The sequence below is a fragment of the Homo sapiens genome, chromosome 2 (assembly GCF_000001405.40).
Source record: "Homo sapiens chromosome 2, GRCh38.p14 Primary Assembly".
Taxonomy (NCBI): Eukaryota; Metazoa; Chordata; class Mammalia; order Primates; family Hominidae; genus Homo; species Homo sapiens.
In genome coordinates this window covers 237,983,060-238,007,382 of record NC_000002.12, presented here as the reverse complement: position 1 = coordinate 238,007,382, position 24,323 = coordinate 237,983,060, and the positions used below count along the sequence as shown (strand labels likewise).

General features: G+C 41.1%; 1 protein-coding gene and 1 long non-coding RNA gene across 9 annotated transcripts in view; both read right to left on the bottom strand.

The window, feature by feature from the left end:
- UBE2F-SCLY (UBE2F-SCLY readthrough (NMD candidate)) overlaps positions 1-24,323 on the bottom strand; it is a 132,469-nt gene that overhangs the window by 92,031 nt on the left and 16,115 nt on the right. The window contains exons 3-4 of the long non-coding RNA NR_037904.1: positions 19,391-19,420; positions 12,574-12,639 (exon numbers count right to left, since the gene is read on the bottom strand). This is a non-coding gene — a long non-coding RNA (UBE2F-SCLY readthrough (NMD candidate)). The remainder of the gene's footprint in view (positions 1-12,573; positions 12,640-19,390; positions 19,421-24,323) is intronic.
- The window catches only part of UBE2F (ubiquitin conjugating enzyme E2 F (putative)), a 75,769-nt gene that overhangs the window by 35,400 nt on the left and 16,046 nt on the right, over positions 1-24,323 (bottom strand). For 7 of the 8 annotated variants that reach the window (NR_103500.2, NR_103499.2, NR_103498.2 and 4 more), the window contains 2 exons: positions 19,391-19,420; positions 12,574-12,639 (listed from right to left, as the gene is read on the bottom strand). The exons of the other annotated variant lie outside the window; for it this stretch is intronic. Coding sequence is in view for 4 of the 7 variants with exons in the window: in NM_080678.3 (NP_542409.1) it covers positions 12,574-12,639; positions 19,391-19,420 (96 nt within the window). In the remaining 3 variants the exon portion in view is untranslated. The remainder of the gene's footprint in view (positions 1-12,573; positions 12,640-19,390; positions 19,421-24,323) is intronic. 8 annotated transcript variants of the gene reach the window in all.

Here is a 24,323-nt window from a genome sequence, read left to right as displayed (position 1 = left end):
TGGGAGACCAAGGTGGGCAGATTACCTGAGGTCAGGAGTTCGAGACCAGCCTGGCCAATATGGTGAAATGCCATATCTACTAAAAATATAAAAATTAGCTGGGCATGGTGGTGGGCACCTGTAGTCCCAGCTAATTAGGAAGCTGAGGCACATGAATCGCCTGAACCCGGGAGGCAGAGAATGCAGTGAGCTGAGATCACACCACTGCACTCCAGCCTTGGCGATAGAGCAAGACTCTGTCTCGAAAAAACAGACAAAAACCCTACAGCAAACCATACACGTAATGATGAAAGACTGACAGCAACCCCCTAAGATTAGAAACAAGCCAGCTGGGTGCAGTGGCTCACGCCTGTAATCCCAGCACTTTGGGAGGCAGAGGCAGGCGGATCACCTGAGGTTGGGAGTTCGAGACCAGCCTGACCAACATGGTGAAACCTCATCTCTACTAAAAATACAAAAATTAGCCGGGTGTGGTGGTGCATGCCTATAATCCCAGCTACTTGGGAGGCTGAGGCAAGAGAATTGCTTGAACCTGGGAGGTGGAGGTTGTGGTGAGCTGAGATCATGCCATTGTACTCCAGCCTGGGAAACAAGAAGGAAACTCTCAAAAAAAAAAAAAAAAAGAAAAAAGAAAAAAGGAACAAGCCAAGGATGTCCCTCCTACCACTTCTATATATGACTGTACTGGAAGTCTTAGACAACAAAGTAAAGCAAGAAGAGGAAACAGAAGGATACAGACTGAAAGGGAGAGATAAAATTGTCTTTATGCATAGATGGCATGATAGTTTACATAGGAAAGTCTACAGAATCCACAATACAACTACTACAATGAAAAGCAGGTTTATCAAGGTTGTAGGACACAAGGTCACTATACAAAAATCAGCTGTATTTTTATGTACTAGCAACAGAAAACTGAAATGGAGATATAAACCATGTTCATGGATTAGAAGATGTGATAATTAAGATGACAATTGATATGGTTTGGACGTGTGTCCCCTCCAAATCTCATGTTGAAATGTGATGCCCATTGTTTGTTTGAGGTGGGGTCTGGTGGGAGGTGTCTGGGTGATGGAGAAGATCCCTTATGAATGGCTTAGTGCCATGGTAATTAGTGAGTTTTTACTGTTAGTTCATGCAAGAGTTGGTTGTTTAAAAGAGTCTGCATCTCTTTTGCTCCCTCTCTCACCATGTGATATGCCGGCTCCACTTTGCCTTCCGCTAGGATTATAAGCTTCCTGATGCCCTCACTAGAGGCAGATGCCAGCACCGTGCTTCCTACACAGCCTGCAGAACCATAAGCCAAAATTAGCCTCTTCTTCACAAATTACCTGGCCTCAGGTATTTCTTTATAGCAATGCAAATAAACAAACACAGCAATTCTCCCCAAATTGATTTACATTAGAGTCAATGCAGTCCTAATCAAAATCTCAGCAAGTTTTTTGCCGAATTTCACAGGCTGATTCTAAAGTGTATGTGGAAAAGTAAAGGAACAAAAATCACCAAAATAATTTTCTACCAAAAAGTAGAAAAATGTTGAAGGAGTCAGAGGTCACATGATGGGATTTCAAGACTTACTATAAAGCCATAATAATCAAGCAGTAGTATTTGTACAAGTGTAGACGTGCAGAACAATGGAATGGAACAGAGTCCAGAAGCACACCCACACACATATAGTCATGTAATGTCAACAAAGGTGCCAAGGTAAGTCAATGGGAAAACCCTGTTCAACAAATGGTGCTAGAAATGGACAATGCAAAAAAGAGATAGAAAAAAAAAACCAGAAAACTACACTCTTCTCTTGTATAATATGTGAAAATTAACTCAAACTGGATCACAGACCTAACCATAAAACCTAGAGCTATAAAACTTCTGCTTTTAAAAAAATAAGGCCGGGCATGGTGGCTCCTGCCTGTAATCCCAGTACTTTGGGAGGCCAAAGTTGGCTGATCACTTGAGCCCAAGAGTCAAGACTAGCTTGTGCAACATGGTGAAACCCTGTCTCTACAAAAAATACAAAAATCAGCCAGGTGTGGTAGCATGTTCCTGTGGTCCCAGCTACCTCAGGAGGCTGAGGCGGAAGGATAACTTGAGCCCAGGAGGTGGAGGTTACAGTGAGCCATGATCGTGACACTGCATTCCAGCTGGGGCAACAGAGCGAGACCCTGTCTCAAAAAAATAAAATAATTTTAAAAATAAGAGAAAATCTTTGTATTTCTTAGACAAAGATTTCTTAGGACACAACAAACACAAACTATTCTTACTAGTTTTGCATTGCTGCTATAATAAATTTCCACAAACTCTGTGCCTTGAACAATACAAATTTATTATCTTCTGGAGGCCAGAAGACCAAAATGGGTCTCACTAGGCTAAGATCATGAAGTTGGCAAGAGGGCACTCCTTTCTGGATGCCCCAGAAAAGGCTGTCTCTTTGCACTATCAGCGGTCAGAAGCTGCCAGCATCCAGGGCTCATGGGCCCTTCCTCCATCTCCAGAGGGAGCAGTGGCAGGTGAGTCTTTCTGCCAGTGCCTCACCTGCTTCCTGCTTCCATTGTCACATCACCTTCTCTGGCTCTAACTGCTTCTCTCTCCCTTTCCACTTTAAGGATCCCTGTAATTACACTGGGTCCACCTAGAAACTCCAGGACAATCTCCCTCCCTTAAGATCAGATGACTAGCAATCTTAATTTATCTGCAACTCTAATTCCCTTTTGCCATGAAACATAACACATTCAACAGGTTCCAGGAATTAAGACACAGACATCTTTTAGGGCCATTATTCTGCCAACCACATTACCACAAAGAAAACAATCATAAGTTGGATATCCCCAAATGAATTTAAAATACATGGTCTTTAAAAGGTCTTTAAGGAAATAAAGACGAGCCATAGACTAGGAAAAAACATTTATAAAACACATCTGATAAAAGACGTATCTATGGTAAAGAACTCTTAAAATCCCACAATAAGAAAAAAAAACCTTATTTTTTTTTAAATGAGCACAACAGTTGAGCAGACGCATCTCCAAAAAAGAGACAGTCATTAAGAAAATGCAAATTAATACCACAATTAAATACCACCATGTAACCACTACCATGAGTAAAGTTTTTTCAACTAAATGCTGGTGAAAATACAGAGCAACTAGAATTCTCATACAGTGCTGGTGGGAATGCAAAATAGTGCAGCTACTTGGAAAGAACAATTTTGTAGTTTCTTATAATTTAAGAAAACTGAGAGCAACTCAAATGTCTACCATTTGATGAATGGATAATCAAACTGTGGTACACCCATACAACTGAAATAACAATAAACACAACAACATGGATGAATGTCAAAAGCATTACACTAAGTGGGAGAAGCCACATACAAAATGTTGCATATTGTTTGGGTTCATTTAAATAATATCCTAGTAAAGGGAAAACTACAGGGAAAGAAATCAGGTCGATGATTGCCAGGGGCTGGGGATGGAGAGGGGATCTACAAAGCAGATCGAGGCAACTTTTTGAGGTGATGGAAACTTCCTCAAGATTGCAGTGGTGGTTATGTGAGTGCGTAGGCCTGTCAAAAGGCAGAGAGCTGTCTATCTAAGAATGGCAAACTTACTGTATGTAAATTATAGCCCACTAAACATGATTCTTAAAAAAGATAAAAAGCCTGTGCCACATAAAAGACACCATCAGGTGGAACGGGAAACTTAAAGAGTGGTGGTAATTTTTTAAATGCCAAAAAACTTAAGATTTAAATACTATGTCAGTTTTGGAGATTTTATACGCACTATATACATTTTTACTGGAGACCACCAGAATCTGTTTTTGCCCATGGAAATGAATGGTTTTTAAAACAATTCATGTCATACTCACTTCAGGAAGCCTGAGCATCCCACGAGAGAATCTGACTTGGAGTTACATTTAAGGCAGGGGACAGACCAATGTGAGAACAGATCAGGTGTCTCTGTATCAGATGATGGGGTGGCCTACTCAGTAGGCACAGTAAGCAAAGAAGCATCACACCAGCCAAATTCTTGGAAGGAGCAAGGAGAGAGCAGTCAATGTTTTCCTGATGAAAGTTAAGAGAATGCTTTGGCAGATAACTGACATTTTAAGAGCTAACATCACATTTCTATTCTACATCGCAAGAAAATTGGCATCTGTATTTTTAAGATTATTTGAAAGAAAAGATTCCACCAAAAAAAAAAACTGTGCTTCTTCAAATTTATCCCCCTTATAATGTTTATCTCCATACTAAAATTAAAAATCAAGCTAGAAAGAAACAGGGATGAGAGTATAAATTTTATGTGTCTGAAACCTTTACATATTAACAATAAACTACATGTAAACTACTACATGGTCAGGATGTTGGTCAAGGTAATAGGTCTACTCTGGTGCTCTGCTCCATTTCCTTATCTTCCTTACATGTCCATAACTATTTAAATGTTGTTCCAAAACATTCATGCGTCAGCCGGGCATGGTGGCTCATGCCTTTAATCCCAGCACTTTGGGAGGCCAAGGCAGATGGATCACTTGAGGTCAGGAGTTCGAGACCAGCCTGGCCAACATGGGGAAACCCTGTCTCTACTAAAAATAAAAAAAATAAATAAATAAAATAAAAATTAGCCAGGCGTGGTGGTGCACACCTGTAATCCCAGCTACTCAGGAGGCTGAGACAGGAGAATCGCTTGAACCCAGGAGGCGGAGATTGCAGTGAGTCAAGATCGCGCCACTGCACTCCAGCCTGGGTGATGGAGTGAGATTCCGTCTCAAAAAAACAAAAAAACAAAATGTTCATGCATGGAACCATCTCAGGTTTCAGGTTTACCAACTGTAATTCTTTGCTCAAAAATTGGAATATTCCGGCCAGGTGCAGCGGCTCATGCCTGTAATCCCAGCACTTTGGGAGGCCGAGGCAGGAAGATCACCAGAGGTCAGGAGGTCGAGACCAGCCTGGCCAACATAGTGAAACCTCGTCTTTACTAAAAATATAAAAATTGGGAGATATACCTAATGCTAGATGATGAGTTAGTGGGTGCAGCGCACCAGCATGGCACATGTATACATATGTAACTAACCTGCACAATGTGCACATGTACCCTAAAACTTAAAGTATAATTAAAACAAAAACAAAAACAAAAACAAAACAGAAAGAGGAAAAAAAAAAAATTATCTGGGTGTGGTGGCGCATGCCTGTAATCCCAGCTACTTGGTAGCCTGAGGCAGGAGAATCGCTTGAACCTGGGAGGCAGAGGTTGCAGTGAGCTGAGATTTGTGTCACTGCACTCCAGCCTGGGCAACAGAGCAAAACTCTGTCTCAAAAAAAAAAAAAAAAAATTGGGATATTCCTTTATTACACATTCAGAAACTTCTCCTCCTAAAGCTCCAAAGCTCTGAAACAAACCAAACATGATGGGGATAGCAAATAAATCCACTAAACGTTTATGACTCAATGTAAGCTGCACGTTTATTATCATGTATCAGGGAGTTTTTATAAATTAAAATTTCAAAATAAGAAAACATCAATAATCTAATGACTGATACATTCTTTTTTGTTTTGTTTTGTTTTTTGTTTTTTGTTGAGACGGAGTCTTGCTCTGTCGCCCAGGCTGGAGTGCAGTGGCGCAATCTCGGCACACTGCAAGCTCCACCTCCTGGGTTCACGCCATTCTCCTGCCTCAGCCTCCCAAGTAGCTGGGACTACAGGCGCCCGCCACCACACCCTGCTAATTTTGTTTTGTACTTTTAGGAGAGACGGGGTTTCACCATGTTAGCAAGGATGGTCTCGATCTCCTGACCTCATGATCCACCCGCCTTGGCCTCCCAAAATGCTGGCATTACAGGCATGAGCCACTGGGCCCGGCCTAATGACTGATATATTCTGAAACAAATTTAGAGGAATACACACATAACTATATAAGATTTATAATCTAGCTGTAGAAGTCTCTAATCAGAATTTTTTCTATATGTAATATCAATAAAAACCCTTTAAAAAAAAACACCACATATCTGATAAAGGATTCATATCAAGGTATATAAGGAAAGCTTACAACTTAATAAGACAATCAGGCTGGGTGTGGTGGCTCACGCCTGTAATCCCAGCACTTTGGGAGGCTGAGGCGGGCAGATCACCTGAGGTCAGGAGTTCGAGACCAGCCTGACCAACATGGAGAAACCTTGTCTTTACTAAAAATACAAAATTAGCCGGGCGTGGTGGCACATGCCTGTAATCCCAGCTACTTGGGAGGCTGAGGCAGGAGAATCGCTTGAACCAGGAAGCGGAGGTTGCGGTGAGCCGAGATTGCACCATTGCACTCCAGCCTGGGCAACAAGAGTGAAACTTGACCTCAAAAAAAAAAAAAAAAAAGGCAAAACTCTATCTCAAAAAATAAAAAATAAAAGACAATCAATCATATTTTTAAATGGGCAAAATATTTGAAGACTCACTTGAACAAAGAAGATATACAGGTAGCAAACAAGCAAATGATAAGATCACCATCACTAGTCATTAGGGAAATGCAAGTTAAAGTTATAATGAGATATATACCTACTAGAATGGCTAAAATTGAAAAGAATGACAATACCAGTTGTCAGTAAGAATATAGAGAAACTGGAATTCTCATTCATTGCTAGTAGGAATGCAAAACTTTGGAAAACTTAATGGCGGTGGTTTTATAAAGTTAAACTTACTCTTACCACATGGCCCAGTAATTTAACTGCTTTGTATTTACCCAGAAGAAATAAAAACATACTGGCAAATGAAGACCTGCACATAAAAAATTTTAACAGCTTCATGTATAATAGCCCCAAAGTGGAAACAACACAAAGGTTCGTCCACTGGTCAACGGGTAAATAAACTGGTATGCGTCCATACAATAGAATACAATTCAACAATACAAAATACAGAATACTGATTAACAACATGGGTGAAACTCAAAAACATTACGTTAAGTAAAAGAATGTAACTTATATCTCAATCAACATTACTTTTAAAAACACTAAAATAGATACATACACACCAATGATCTAGGATCTACTTCAAGAAGCTAGAAAAAGTAAAGTAAAACCAAAGTATTAGGAAGGAAATAACAAAGAGCAGAAATAAATGAAATGGGCAAACAATTGAGAAAAAAGTCAGTTCTTTGCAAAAATCAACTGCATAAACCTTTAGCTAACATGATCAAGAAAAATGAGAAGCCACAAATTACTGTATCAGTAATGAAAAAGGCGACATCAATATAAGTCTTACAGATATTAGTAGACTAGTAAGAATATTCTGGGCTGGGCGCAGTGGCTCACGCTTGTAATCCCAGCATTTTGGGAGGCCAAGGTGGGTGGATCACGAGGTCAGGAGACTGAGACCAGCCTGGCCAACATCGTGAAACCTGTCTCTACTAAAAATATAAAAATTAGCTGGGTATGGTGGTGTGCACCTGTAATCCCAGGTACTCGGGAGGCTGAGGCAGGAGAATCGCTCGAACCTGGGAGGTGGAGGTTGCAGTGAGCTGAGATCGCGCCACTGCACTCCAGCCTAGGCGACACAGTGAGACTCCGTCTCAAAAAAAAAAAAAAAAAAAAAAGAACAACATCAAAATACTTAACATCTATGAATTTCAAAATAAGTACTATATAAAGCTACGACAATTAAAACAGTGTGGTACGGGCCTAAGGGTAAACACAGACCAATGGAACAGAATCAAGTCCAAAAAGCAGAACTACACATATACAGTCAATGCTGTTTGGTCAAGCTTTCAAGGTAATTCAATGAAGAAAGGAAAGTCTTTTCATTGAAACAGCTGGATATCTAGATAGATAAAGTAAATCTCAACCTCTGTCTTACTCCACATACAAAAATCAATTCAAGATGGCTGATGGACCTTAACATAAAACCTACCATCCTAAAGCTTCTAGGAAAAAAACATAGGAGCATATATTTATAAGTTTCAGGTAAGCAAAAATTTCTGGACAGGACATAAAAGGCACAAACCATTAAAAAACTGATAAACTGCACATCATAAAAATTAAAACTTCAGCCACATGTGGTGGCTCATGGCAGTAATCTCAGCACTTTGGGAGGCCAGGGTGGGCGGATCACTTGAGGTCAAGAGTTTGAGACCATCCTGGCCAACACAGCAAAACCCCGTCTCTACTAAAACTACAATGGATGAAACTCAAAAACATTACGTTAAGTAAAAGAGGCTGAGGCCTGAGAATCGCCTGAATCTGGGAGGCAGAGATTTCAGTGAGGTGAAGTTGCACCACTGCACTCCAGCCTGGGTGACAGAGCGAGACTCTGTCTCAAAAAAAAAAAATAAATAAATAAATAAAAGAAATTCCTCCTCAACAAAAGACAGCATTTTTAAAAATGAGCAGAAAAGTCACAGAATGGGAGAAAATATCTGCAGCTCATGCATCTGACAAAAGACTTGTATTCAGACCACAGCACAAAATAAAAAGTTTTTTTAGGGCAAAAGACTGGGGCACTTCAGAAAGGACGATGTATAAATGGCCCGTAAATACATGAAAAGATACTCTACATCATCTGTCACTGGGAAATGCAAATAAAAACCCCAATGATATACCATTTCACACCCAAATGTTGATATATGTGTAGAACAATGGAAACTTCTCATACAGTGCTGGTCAGGGTATGGCACAACCACAGTGGAAAGTTTCTTAAAAGGTTAAACATGTTATCTTTCCTATGACTCAAAAATTCCACTCTTAGGTAGAATTAAAGAGAAAGGAAAACTATGAACACGAAAAGCTTGTAAAAAAAAAAAAAAAAGCTCACGGCAGTCAAACCTCATAGCTTTTGGTTTATTGATACTAGCCAAAACCTAGAAACTACTCAAATGTCTATCACTAGGAAGATAAATTATGACATATTCATTAAAATTCCATAAAAAGGGAATAAACTACTGATTCACACAACATGTGTAAATTTAAAACTATGTTAAGTGAAAGAAGTCAGAGACAAAGAGTACATATATAAGATTCCATTTACATATAAAAAATTCAAGAACAAGAAAAACTAATTTATGGAAATAAAAATCAGAAAGGAATTTTGGATGGTGGTGTAGGGGGCAAGGAACTGGCTGCAAAGAGGCAGAAGGAAACTTTGGGAATGATGGAAATGTTTTTCATCTTTATTGGGGTTATGGTTACATATGTGTATACATTTTCCAAATGTAAGCTATACATTTCAAATTAGTACATTTTATTGTTTATAATTTTATACCTCAGTAAAACTGATTATAAAATTTTTAATTTAAATTTAAAAAATTGTCATTGTTACTTAAAGCCATGTTCCCTTCAGCCTAAAACCATCACCACCATCACAGCAGGGCAGGCTGAGGTGACCTTCATCAACATGTCAGCCAGGCCACTCACTGAACAGGTCCAGTTTTTCAAACTGTCCCACTAACTTCACAGAAGCCTCCACGGGATATTTCAGGCTATCTTTTACGTTTTTGTTTTGTTTCATTTCACTTATTACTACTTTTTCTTGTTTTGCGAGATGATGTGGACGCTTTTTTTCTAAATTCGGTCCCTTTCTTTTCCCCATCACCAAATTACATTTCCATGTTTTTCTCTAAAGAGTGTATTTATTCCCAAGCATGAGCAACCACTCCAAAAGCAAACAAAACTATCAAAATGTTAGCAAGTGTGAACAGGAGCCAGATAAAGAGGTGTGAGCTGAAAATGCAGACGCAATTCTTCCACTCTTGACCATTCTAACCCCCAGATCATAGATATTAGTGAGTTTTCAGCCCTAGCTCCAGGATTACTGGCTACAAATGAGTCCATTTCAAAATCATTTTATTTCATATATTGTTAAAACTTCACAACTTAGACATATCACTGTAATTTGTTTTCAATATGAAGAGGAGCAGGATTCTAAAATTTTTTTTAAAAACCATGATATGAAGCAAGTTTTTCCGGTTGGCATATCTCGGCCACACTTCTCTTAATAATCAAAGGGCAGGCATCACCACAGCTTTCTAATTCACAGACATCACAAAATAAGGGCATATACACAGTATCTAAAAAGCATGCTGTGCACAGCTCAATGTTAATGTCCCTGAAGTACACTTATTAAAAATATGAATATTCAGGCATTAAGTATTTACAGGTACCAAGACACAAGTTACTTTTTATTTATTTTTTTTATTTTTTTTGAGACAGCTCTGTCGCTCAGGCTGGAGTGCACTGGGCCAATCTCAGCTCACTGCAACCTCCACCCCCTGGGTTCAAGCAATTCTCCTGCCTCAGCCTCCTGAGTAGCTGGGATTACAGGCACGCACCACCACCACACCGGGCTAATTTTTTTGTATGTTTAGTAGAAACGAGGTTTCACTATGTTGGCCTGGCTGGTCTCGAACTCCTGACCTCAAGTGATCCACCCACCTGGGCCTCCCAAAGTGCGGGAATTACAGGCATGAGCCACCGGGCCCAGCCACAGGTTACTTTTTAATCTGATAGAACAGTGAGTACAAAAACTGTAACAATTATGCTCCATTTTCAAGGACAATTCTAAGACCAACATCAAAGATGCTGTCATATATACAATAATCACAACATTAAAGTGATTCAGTAAAAAATTTCAGTTAAAAAATAAGGGGGGCTGGGCGCAGTGGCTCACACCTGTAATCCCAGCACTTTGGGAAGCCGAGGCTGGCAGATCACCTGAGGTTAGGAGTTTGAGACTAGCCTGGCCAACACAGTGAAATCCCATCTCTACTAAAAATACAAAAATTAGCTGGGCATGGTGGCGCATGCCTGTAATCCCAGCTACTCAGGAGGCTGAGGCAGGAGAATCACTTGAACCCGGAAGGCGAAGGTTGCAGTGAGCCCGAGATTGCGTCACTGCACTCCAGCCTGGGTGGCAGAGTGAGACTTGGTCTCAAAAAAAAAAAAAAAACGCGGAGGGGAGGCGGGGAAGAAACATTTATCCAGACTTGCCAGAAACCCAATCACATGACAGTAAAGAGCCTGGAAAAATCAACAAACATCTTTGAGTGGCCAAGGACCACAAAGCCCATGCTTGGGATGGGCAGAGCCACAGAATCCCTGATAGCCATTGAAAATGCCCTAGAAAGGCAGATGAAAGAAAATATTTTACTATAAACACACAAGTCTGAAATTAGTAAACAGAGAACCAATCTTAATCACTACAATGATTTCTGAGAATACCCTACATTACTTAACAGAATAGTAAATGATGTCCATAGCAGTGACCTTGAGTCACCAAGAAAGCATTAGAGTGTGCTCAATACCTCTCGTAAAAAACAGCACAATATGCAATGTGTTTTAGGAAGGCAGCCAAAGGATCGTTAGAGTTTTCATCATTTCACAGTTTAAAGCCCTTCACTACATTTATCTATAGATGTCAGGCATGTGGAACACTCTGCTTTCTAATGATGGTGTTCTATTTGGCATAAAGTACAGCTAATAGAAAAAACAAGAAAGAAAAGAAAAATATATACATAATGATGATGTTCTAGTATTAACTCCTATACCCAAGTACTCTCCTTATCTTAGAAGAATCAGTATCAGACTGATTTATACTTCCAGAGCCCTTTGTGGAACCATCACATAGATAAAATAGAATTTTTTTTAAGGTTTCAAGCATATTTTGATATTTTGAAACCAGGATTTCTTGTGCTATTATTATCAAACATCTTCCACAGAAAAAGCCCATCCTACCTACAGAGAGACAAGGCCGGGACTTATTTGTGGGTTCATTGCCACCTACCAAAATCCTGTATTCTTTTCCACATTTTAATTAGCTAGTGACTAATAATTCTCAGTTTCTCACTACCTTTCCATCCCCCAAATAAAATAACACCCTATATTTCCACCACCAAACGTCCTTCCCTCTTGTTAATTCCCCACAACAGCATCGACCGGTTGCCACCCACTGTCCAACATAAACACCAGTGGGTTGTGAAGTGTGGGAATCTGCAGCTCTTGGAGCTGCATTGTAACTAGAAAATATACAAGTCCTCCTCTTGCTGTCACTTTGACCAAGAAGAAATATGTTGCCATGCTGGGGCAGCTTAGGGATTAGACACTTATCCGTCTTACTGAGGACAGCTGGTAATCTTCTGTCTGCTTCTGTGTGCCAGACCCTGGGCTTAAGTGCTTTACCCACACTATCTGTTTAATCCCCACAACTGTCCTATGAGATAGGTCCTATTTGATCCCACTTTGTAGATAGGCAGGCTGTGGCTAAAAGGTTAAGCAACTTAACCAAGGTCACACTATTCCTACGTAAGGGAAAAGGATTGGAACCCACTTATGACTTCAGAGCCCACACTCTTCACTATACACCAACTGCCTCAGCTGTCATTAACTTTAGTTATATTTATACATCATTATTGAGAGTGTACACTGAATGCCTCAAATTCACTTTAATATGCTTTATTTCATTCACTATGAAGTATATATCTTATCTTCATATGAAATTGTTATTAATGTGTTAATCTTTTAAAAGCTAGAGGACAAACCAAAGCAAAGATTACAGGTTTGGGCAGCCTTTATAATTCGCTGTTTGAAATCACTTTAATACTTATGTAAGAATATTACCTGGGGTTACTGTTAGCTGAAAACAATGAAGCTTGTTTGGATCAGGAAAATGCACTTTACATGTACCTGCAAAAGAAACAGCACATCAGGAAGGTCTGGCAGTGAGCAGCAGTCCATATGTTGACGCTAACCTTTGAACACGTGTAAAGTTAGCGGTGCTACAGGGATTCGTATGGTTTATGGAAAGTTGGTAGATCTCCCTCCCTATTTGTCTGATAATAATCGTGCCAATACTCTAAAATTGCAAACCAGTGGTTTTTGTCATGTGCTTTTCTCCTTACAGTGTTTTACTAGTTAATTCCAAATAGAGATGTTTTCCTTCAACCTTTAAGTGGTCACTAAACCATTTATTTCAAGAATTATGCTACTGTACTTTGACAAGAAGAAACCATATCTCAGGGAGATTAATACATGCAGGCAAAGGCTAACTAAACACGAAAAAACCAGGAAAGAGCCCAGGTCAACTCTGTTGCCCTAGCACCACAGACATTCAGTCACCATGGTAAATGGAAGTTCTTTATAAAGAAGGGTGCTGGCCAGGCATGGTGGCTTACGCCTGTAATCCCAGCTACTTGGGAGGCTGAGGCAGGAGAATCACTTGAACCCAGGAGATGGAGGTTGCAGTGAGCCAAGATCGCGCCATTGCACTCCAGCTTGGGCAACAAGAGTGAAACTCTGCCTCAAAAAAAAAAAAAAAAAAGAAGAAGAAGAAGAAGAAGAGTGCGCCCAGGACTTAGCTCCCACCCAGCCAGAGTTTACCATAATCTTTTGTCTTTTTAAAAAATACCTTTACTACCTAAGTGGTAAATCAGCTTGCTTTATTGGTAAAATAATGCTCTACTGACCCAGATGGCAATGTTCTGTGCCCACTGGTCCAAATCATAAGAGGCCTGAATCAGGACAAAGTGTTCCCCTGGGAGAGAAGCTACTGGCTGCTGGTGCAGGCCAGGGAAGTTGATTGCATCCCACCCATCTCCTTCAAACAAATGACACACAGCTAATTACCCATAGGAAAAATACCCAAGGAATCTGGAAGGAATATATATAGAAATTTTCTACATCTATAAAATCAGAAAATACTATGCTAAACTTTTTTTTAGACAGGGTCTCACTCTGTTGCCTGGACTGGAGGACAGTGGCATGATTCCAGCTCACCGCAACCTCTGCCTCCAAGGCTCAGGTGATCCTCCCACCTCAGCCTCCTGAGTAGCAGGGACTACAGGTGCACACCACCACACCTGGCTAATTTTTGTATCTTTTGTAGAGACAGGTTTTCGCCATGTTACCCAGGCTAGTCTTGAACTCCCATGCTCAAGTGATCCACTCACCTTGGCCTCTGAAAGTGCTAGGATTACAGGCATGGGCCACCACACCAGGCCTATGCTAAACTTCTCAGTTCACCACTGGTGGTGAACTAAACATGGAAAAACCAGGAAAAACCCAGGTCAAATTTCTACTCTGTTCTCTTAGCACCACAGACATCCACAGTCACCACGGCAAATGGAAGTTAAAAAGAAGAGTGCTGGCCAGGCATGGTGGATCATGTCTGTAATCCCAGAACTTTGGGAGGCCAAGGCAGGCGGTTCACGAGGTCAGTAGTTTGAGACCAGCCTGGCCAACGTGGTGAAACCCCGTCTCTACTAAAAATACAAAAATTAGCTGGGCAAGGTGGCGGGCGCCTGTAGTCCCAGCTACTTGGGAGGCTGAGGCAGGAGAATTGCCTGAACCTGGGAGGCAGAGGTTGCAGTGAGCTGAGATCACGCCACTGCCCTCCAGCCTGGGCAACAAAGCGAGACTCCATCTGAAAAAAAAAAAGAGTGCTGCCCAGGAGTTAGCTCCCACCCAGAATTTACTATGATATTTTGTCTTTTTAAGTTTTTAAAGTTTTTTTAGAAGACTTTTTAAAAATTTGTTTAAAGTTTTCTTACAAGTTCCACCAAAAGTATTTGCTTAGTTTGACAATGATAAAAATTTTTATCGAAAACAGGACAATTCAAATTTCTACTCAGAGGTGACCTTAGAGACGATCTAGTCCAACGTCCTCAATTAGGAGACATAAGTAGAAGGTCTAGAGAGGCTTGGTGACTAGCCCAAGATCATACAGGTTATCAACAGAAGCAAGGTTAATTCCTACATTAATAACTAGTTCATGACTCCTTCCCCTACCTCATGCCTCATTTCCTTTCAGTACTTAATGACCATGTTAAGACATGGGACACCTGTATATACAAGCAGCAAATAACACAGGACTGATAGTGGGGTTTCCTTTCCAGAGTGAAAACTGTCTAGAAAAGCAAGAAGCAGTCTTAGAGATGACAATGTCACAGTCCTTACTTGAGAAATAAACAAACTGGAGCCAAAGAGTTCAAGACTTTCCCCAAAATTACACATTTAGAACTATGTGTGAAATACTTAAAATGGGCTTTATTCTTCCTAATCTTAACTTGCAAAGATAAATGCCATCCTTCTAGTGAGTTCTAAGTAACAAAAACATATAATTCTGACTTGGGAAATGTTTCAATGATTCACTGAAGTTGGCATCATGTATTTGTTTTTAATATCTGGCATTCTCTTTTGTTTTAATAGACAGATGCGGAAATCAATAGCTCCAAAAAGCTGGCCCATCAAGAATAAAGAAATTATCGGCCGGTCGCAGTGGCTCATGCCTGTAATCCTAGCACTTTGGGAGGCCAAGGCAGGTGGATCACCAGAGGTTAGGAGTTCAAGACTAGCCTGGCCAACATGGTAAAACCCCCTCTCTACTAAAAATACAAAAAATTAGCCGGATGTAATGGCGCATGCCTGTAATCCCAGCTGAGGGGGAGGCTGAGGCAGGAGAACTGCTTGAACCCGGGGGCAGAGGTTGCAGAGAGCTGAGATCGTGCCACTTCACTTCAGCCTGGGTGAAAGAACGTGACTCTGTCTCAAAAAAAAAAAAAGAAATTATCAAAGTGGATTACAAAGCAATAAAACTATGCCAGGCGCAGCGGCTCACGCCTGTAATCCTGGCAAAACCCCATCTCCACTAAAAATACAAAAATTGGCTAGGCGTGGTGGCGGGCACCTGTAATCCCAGCTACTCAGGAGGCTGAGGCAGGAAAGTCACTTGAATCCAGGAAGTGGAGGTCGCAGTGAGCCGAGATCGCGCCACTGCATTCCAGCCTGGGTGACAGAGCAAGACTGTCTCAAAAAAAAAAAAAGAAAGAAAGAAAAGAAAAGAAAGGTTAAGTTCTAAAAAAAAAAAAAAATTTAACAGGTTTTTGTTCCAGTTCAATGCACCAGAATTAAGCTTTTTATCTACATGTAGGCATGCACTATCTGAGCCTCTAATATTTCAGTCTATCTGAAAGAAACATTTTAAATTTTTTTGCAGAGAAACCGCTAAAAACTTGCATGTGCAGAGCTCCAAACTAGTTCCGAATAGTTACTAAGTGGTACTGATACAAGGCAAGTTATTTTGTTTGCCTTTGTAAATATTTTAGAAAGATAATTAAATAGATAGTAAAGGGTTATTCATTGGTGGTTTCTTGTTTTCTCTTTAGCATAATGAGACATACTTTTGGAAAGCATGGCTTACTTGAATAAAATGATATAATTTCCCCCTCTTCGATTAGGAGAGAAGGTAGGGAGAAAGAATGAAAGAAGGGGCAGGGAGCATGCTGTCTTTTTATCTGACACCATAGCTATAGGGCTAGGAGATGTGCCATACTTCTTTCAAACCTAAGGTATGCAGTTACAATCCTGATTTGAAAGCCAGTCATAAAATTTTCTTGTTTTTAAAGTACACTCTATGGGTTAAAAACCAACAATCTCTGTAAGATATGTATCAAGGATGAATGAACCATTTATAAGTGGGACCTTTTCTGTGGTTTTGATTAAATGTCTACATGTGTTGGCCATGCACAGTGGCTCGTGCCTGTCATCTCAGCTCTTTAGGAGGCCAAGGTGGGAGGATCACTTGAGCCCAGGAGTTTGAGATCAGCCTGGGCAACACAGGAGACTCCATCTCTACAAAAAAATAATAATAATTTTATTATTATTTTTTTTTTGAGACAGAGTCTCACTCTGTCGCCCAGGTTGGAGTGCACTGGTGCTATCTCGGCTCACTGCAAGCTCCGCCTCCTGGGTTCATGCCATTCTCCTGCCTCAGCCTCCCGAGTAGCTGGGACTACAGGCGCCCACCATGATGCCTGGCTGATTTTTTGTATAAAAAATAATAATAATTTTTAAAAATTAGCTAGGCGTGGTAGCATGCACCTGAGGTCTGAGGTCTCAGCTGCTCAGGAGACTGAGGTGGGAAGATCACTTGAGCCCAGGAGGTTGAGACTGCAGTGAGCCACACTCATGCCACTGTACTCCAACTTGGGCAACAAAGAGAGACCCTGTCTATTAAAAAAAAAAAAAAAGGTTTACATGTATATACAGGCTCAAGTTGGGGGCCTGTGGGAAGATAAGATGGGACTGGAAAGCAGAGGGATTATTTTATTTTATTTTTATTAGGAAAATGTCCTAATAAAAGAGAAGAGTATAATGAACCCATCCCCCAGCTTCAACATTTTGCCAATTTTGCTTGTCTATCCTGCCCCCCCACAGTTATTTGTTTATTGTTTGTCTTCCTGTAGCATTTTAAAGCAAACTACTTCATCTGTAAATACTTCAGTGGGTAGAAAGATAACTTTTTTTTTTTTTTTTTTTTTTGAGACAGTCTCACTCCATCGCCCAGGAGTGCAGTGGCACAATCTCAGCTCACCGCAACCTCCGCCTCCTGGGTTCAAGCAATTCTCTTGCCCCAGCCTCCCGAGCAGCTGGGATTACAGGTGCATACCACTACAACTGGCTAAATTTGCACTTTTAGTAGAGACAGGGTTTCATCATGTTGACCAAGCTGGTCTCGAACTCCTGAGCTCAAATGATCCACTCGCTTCAGCCTCCCAAAGTGTTGGGAATATAGGCGTGAGCCACTGCACCCAGCCAGAAAGATAACCTTTTAACAGAATCTCAAGATATTGCCTCATTTCCGAGTTGAAGAAAACTTTGAGGTCAAGCAATCCAGTGTCTTTCAAAACACTTTCAACTGAGATCCACAGTAAGAAACATATTTTATATCACAACTCACGATACCTACCCATAAATTCTATATGCTGAAAATAATCTTTTGGCTGGGCGCAGTGGCTCACGCCTGTAATCCCAGCACTTTGGGAGGCTGAGGCAGAAGGATCACTTGAGCCCAAGAGTTTGAGACCAGCCTGCCCAACAAGGCAAAAACCCATCTCTGCTAAAAATACAAAAATTAGCCTGGCGTGGTGGTGCATGCCTGTGGTCCCAGCTACTCGGGAGGCTGAGGCGCAAGAATCACTTGAACCTAGGAGGCAGAGGTTGCAGTGAACCGAGATCTCACCACTGCACTCCAGCCTGGGCGACAGAGTGAGCCTCTGTCTTGAAAATAATAATAATTTTTTAAGAAACATTACATACTTACCCTCTCAAACTGATTTCACAACCATGGAGAGGTTGCAATCCACCATTATCTTTCCTACTTCAGATGGAGGCTGGAATGGGCCCTGTCCTGCCCCATGTCAGAGATATCTCCACATCCAATCCTAAGTTCTCTCTAGCACTCACCCAAACCAGCAGACCCACTTATAAAATATTTCACCATTACCCACAGACATCCTCAGCCCCAGAACTAATTTTAAGGGAAGTACAATGATAAAAAGTTGTAATTCAAAAAATACTAAAATGATCAAAGCTTTCAGGCTTTAATGATCTTTTGAAATAATCAAGGGTTTGGAAGATTAATGATAGAGAGAATACGACATGTATTACAAAAGTGAACTGCCTGATAGATAGCTTTCCGAATGTACGGTGCTCATGAGTGAAGACTGCATGCTGACCCTGTGTGTCTGGGGCAGAAACAATCAAGCAAGATGGACTCCCACTGACAGCAGCAAGGCAGTGCAGCCACCCCTCAAACATGCAGACAAGTTACAAATGAGAACTTTGCCAAAAAGCTGGTATCATCCCTAACAAAAGTGGAACTGTTATTGATTTATACACTTTTTCACTCAAAGTGGATGCGGGACAGAATGCATCTGGAAGAGGCAAAAACCTAACCAAATGCACCTCTGCTATGCTAAGGAGAGATAGCACTCAGAAAGGTGGCAGAACCTTGCTCTTTTTTTTTTTTTTTTTTTAAGACAGAGTCTCATTCTGTCACCCAGGCTGGAGTGCAATGGCGCAATCTTGGCTCACTGCAACCTCCGCCTCTTGGGTTCAAGCGACTCTAATGCCTTAGCCTCCCGAGTAGCTGGGGCTACAGTGATGCAGCACCAGGCCCAGCTAATCCAATTTTTTTTTTTTTTGAGATGGAGTCTTGCTCTGTTGCCCAGGTTGGAGTGCAGTGGCCTGATCTCAGCTCACTGCAACCTCTGCCTCCCAGGTTCAAGTGATTCTCCTGCCTCAGCCTCCCAAGTAGCTGGAACTACAGGCATGCGCCACCATGCTCAGCTAATTTTTGTAGTTTTAGTAGAGACAGGGTTTCACCATGTTGGCCAGGCTGGTCTCGAACTCCTAACCTCAAATGATCCAGCTGCCTCTGCCTCCCAAAGTGCTGAGACTAGCAGCATGAGCCACCATGCCTGGCCTACCTTGTTCTTATTAGACACTTGAAAAAATCCTACCTTTTCACAGAAAATTAAAATTCATTCCTAACATACATGAAAAATAGGCTTTTTACTATACAAGGTTATTAAAACATAAAAAGTTTTCTTCATGCAATTATTTCACAGTACTTAGTGTTTGGGGATGCTATACTTACAAGGTAAATTAGCTTCAAGTTCTGCAACCTCTGTAGAAACAAAGAAATTATTATTAATATTAGTCAATTACTCCACATAAAATCACCAGTTCTAAATTGGCAATTTCCTCTAGAACACTGAATCAAAAAAAAAAAAAAAAGGATGAACTGAATAAAACCTGGTCTAAAGTTTAGACTTTAAGCCATTTAGCTGCTTTCGATATACAAAGTGACTTGCAGAATGCCAACAAATTCAGTCAAAAGTCCTTGAATATTCACTTTAATGTAAAAGAAAAACATTTTAAATTAACATAGAAATGACCTATAGGTAGCCAGTCACTACAGTGTTTTTAAAAGTGGTTCCAAGTACTGGAATGATTCCTCTCAAAACCTGATCTATATGCACCTTGTGTCTATGTCTGTTCCCAGTGCTATCTTCCAGTTACCCCCTCATAGCTGCATTTCTTGGCCCCAGTCCTCTGCCTCAGGGCCTCAGACATCGCAGTCCCTCTTCCACGAGCCATTCATTTGGTGTTTAAGCCCAGCACCCCCTCTGCAGGACAAAACTGCAAACCCTCGCCACAATCCTGCTCACCACTTCTATTCAACACAGTGTTAGAAGTCTAAACCAGAGCAATCAGACAAGAAAAACAAATAAAAGGCATCCAAACTAGAAAGAAAGAAATAAAATTATCCCAGTTTCAGGTGACAAGATCCTATATGCAGAAAGCCCTAAAGACTGCCCTGCCCTTCCCCACACACACACCCACTTTAGAATAAAATGATTGGGAATAAATTTAAGGAGATAAAAGATCTGTATACTGAAAACTGTAAAACATTGATGAAAGACATTAAAGAAGACACAAATAAATATATGGAAATATATACTCTGTTCAAATATTTGAAGAATTAATATTGTTAAAATGTCCATACTACCCAAAGCAATCTACAGATTCAGTGCAATCCCTATCAAAATTCCAATGGCATTTTTCACAGAAATTAAAAAAACAATTCTAAAATTTGTCTGGAATCACAAAACACCCCGAAAAACCAAAGCAGCTTGAAAAAGAACAAAGTTGTAAGCATCACACTTTCTGATTTCAAGCTATAGAAATCAAAATAGCACAGTACTGGCTTAAAAACAGACACACAGAACAGAAAATAGAATCCAGAAGTAAACCTAAGCATATAAAAGTCAACTAATTTATGACACAGGTACCAAGAAAACACCATGGGGAAAGGATAGTTCCTTCAATAAATGGTGTTGGGAAAACTGGATATTCACATGCAAGGGAATAAAATTGGCTTCTTATCTTATACCATACATGAAAAATCAACTCAAAATGAATTAAAGACTTAAATGTAAGACCTGAAAGTATAAAACTCCTAGAAGAAAAGATAGGGAATAAGTTCCTTAACAAGGGCCTTGGCAATGATTTTTTTGATATCACACCAAAAGCTCAGAGAACAAAAGCAAAAATAAGCAAGTGGGATTACATCAAACTAAAAAGCTTCTGTACAATAAAGGAAACAATCAGCAAAATAAAAAGGCAGCCTATGTGCCAGGCATGGTGGCTCCTGCCTGTAATCCCAATACTTTGTGAGGTCAGGTGGGTAGATAGCTTGAGCCCAGGAGTTTAAAGGCCTACCTGGGCAACACAGCAAAACCTTTCTTTTTTAAACAAAATATACAAAAATTAATGGGTTGTGGTGGCACACACCTGTAGTCCCAACTGCTCAAGATATTGAAGTGGGAGGATCACCTGAGCCTGGGAAGTCGAGGCTGCAGTAAGCCGGGACCACACCACTGCGCTCTACACCACTCACTCTACGTGACAGAGTGAGACCCCGTCTCAAAAAAAAAAAAAAAAGAAAAGAAAAGGTAGTCTATGAATTGGGAGAAAATATTTACAAATCATATATTCGACAAACAGATTAATATCTAAAATATATAAGGAAATCACACAACTCAATAGCAAAAAAAAATTAAAAATGGGCAAAAAACATGAATAGACATATCTCCAAAGAAGAAATAAAAATGGCCAACAGATATATGCAAAGGTGCTCAACATCACTGAACATCAGGGAAATACAAATCAAAATCATGAGAAATCACCTCACACCTGTTAGAATGGCTGCTATCAAAGAGAGATAAATGTTGGCAAGAAGGTGGAAAAAAGAGAACCCTTGTATACTGATAGCAGGGCTGTAAACTTGGTATAGCCATTATGGAAAACAGTATGGAAGTTCCTCAAAAAATTAAAAATAGAACTACCATATCACCCAGCAATCCCACTCTGGTTATCTACCCAAAGACAACAAAATCAGTATGTGGAACAGATATCTGCACTTCCATACTCATTGGACTATTATTCACAATAGGCAAAATATGGAAATAACCTAAGTGTCACTGACAACTGGATAAAGAAATTGTGGTACACACAGTATATATGTTGGAACATTGTTCAGCCTTAAAAAAGAGATCCTGTCATTTGCAACAACATGGGTAAATCTAGACATTATGCTACATAAAATAAGCCAGACACACAAAGACAAATACTACATGATCTTACATATATGTAGAATCTAAAGTCAAAATGAAGGAACAGAAAACGGTGGTGACTAGGGCATGGGAGTGGGGAAGGGGGCAGAATGGGGGGATACAAAGTTACAGGCATATAGGATGAATAAGTCTAGAGATCTAAAGTACAGCATGATGACTATAGTTCATAATATTGTTTTATATGCTGGAAATTTGCCAACAGAGTAGATTCAGATGTTACCATTTTAAAAAAGGTAAACTATACAAGAAGATGAATATATTAATTCACCTGACTGTAGTAAACAACCTACTACTATGTTTATCAAAGCAGCATATTGGACCTGGCACTGTGGCTAATGCCTGTAATCCCAGTGCTTTGGGAGGCCGAGGCAGGAGGATTGCTTCAGGCCAGGAGTTTGAGACCAGCCTGGGCAACACAGTGAGACCACCATCTCTATTTTTTTTTTTTTTTTTTGCCTTTTTCCACAACCTCCCAACCTCTTCAAACAAATAAACAAACAAAAAAGAGTCAGGCGTGGTGGTGCATGCCTGTAGTCCCAATTACTCAGGAGTCTGAGGTGGGAAGGTCACTTGAACCTAGGAGTTTGAGGTTATAATGAGCAATCATCGCCTCACTGTGCTCCAGCCTGGGCAACAAAGTGAGACCCTGTCTCAAAAAAACAAAACAAAACAAAAACCTTCTTGTTGCACACCTTAAATATTTACAATAAACAGCTAATTAATTAAAAACAAAAACCTGCAGTTTAGCAGGGCATGGGGAAGGGTACCCTCTGAAATAACTGACCCGGCAACGTCCTCTGTGCCTCAGACAGAAAGTAGTGTGCTCTGGGGTCTTTGGGACAGGGAGATTCTCTCCAGCTGTGGGGACTGAGGAAAGAGGAAGTTTCTGAGTTGGGTTTTGGCAAGTAAGTAAAATTTAGTCCTGCAGAGTTAGGGGAAAAGAGGAGTATTCCAAGCAGATAAATTAGCAATGTGCGAAAGCACAGTGCATGGAAAAGCACAGAAACCAGACAGCATCCAGTGTGGCCAGAACAAAGGTCCCAAAACAACAGCAGAGCACTGGGAAACAAAGTAGAAAAACAGAAACAGGAGCGTGGAGGGAGCCATTGGAGATTTCTGAACAGAAGTTTCTAAACTTTGCTTAAAGAGGACAATCTTAGAAAGGGCAAAGTGGAGGCCAGTGACCTAAGAGATGGGCAGCAAGCACCTGGCAAAGGCAGAAAAGTGTGGGGGCTTCAGAGCAAACAGAATGGAGAGGTTCCAGCAACTCTGAGTGGGTGGAGGGGGTCAAAGATGGCACCCAGAGGTGATGTGCTGGGATGCGGGAGTGCCAGAAAGCCACGAGAGACAAAGAGGAGGAGTAGGGGAGGGGTAGGAAGAGGAGGAGTAGGGAAGGGGTAAGAAGAGGAGGAGTAGGGGAGGGGGAAGAAGAGGAGAACAAGGCTGGGAGCACAATGAGGGCAAAGGTGAGGGGTTCCTGCAAAGTGATGCCACCTGTCATCATGAGACTGGGTAAGGTCAACAAAAGGGAGAAAAAAGGACCTTGGAGAAAGCAACGGCCAAGGAACAGGGAAAGTTACAGATGAGAAACATGCCGAAAAGCAGGACAGCCATCGGGGATGTGGTGATTCAGTGAAAGAGCACAGAGGGTCCAAGGGGAAAGGCCATTGGAAGTGGATCAGACCTTGCTGATTCGCATTCAAAACAGCAGGAAAGCAGGAAGAGAGATGGAACCCAGAGTACGAAGTGAAGACGCAAATGTGAGGTCAAAACAGCTGCAGCACAATTCCTTCAAGAAGTGAAGTGGGGAAAGGAGGCAACGGGAAGGGGCAATGGAGGCCAGAATGCTCACAAAGCTGACCACCGAGTGGAGGAATGAAAAGGCTAGCTGAGGGCTCTACTCTGAGGCTCAGGGTTCAGGAGACCTGCAGGCCTCTGATCTCAGCTATTTATATGCTACAACTAAGCACCTGTGTAGAGGCACGTGGCCCATTAAATGCACTCATTCTAGGGCCCAGGTATATGGAATGGGCACCAAAGGTGAAGACAGACAGTGGAGGAGCTAGAGAAAGGGAGAAGCCCACCCACAGCCACTCCCTCTCAGGGCCAGGACATGCTCTGGCCAGGGCAAGCCTTCTCACACTGAGAAAAAGGACAGATCTCTTCAGCGGAGCTGAGTGTGGGGAGAAGAGGAGAAAGAGTTCACCCACTTGCCATGATCAGAAATAGAGCAAGTTCTGTGACTAAATACAACCCTGGGAGCCTATCTTCCTGGCAGTCTTATGTGGTGGCCCCTACATTAAAAAATATTCCCTTGACTGGGTGCAGTGGCTCACATCTGTAATCCCAGCACTTTGGGAGGCTAAGGCAGGAGGATCGCTTGAAGCCAGG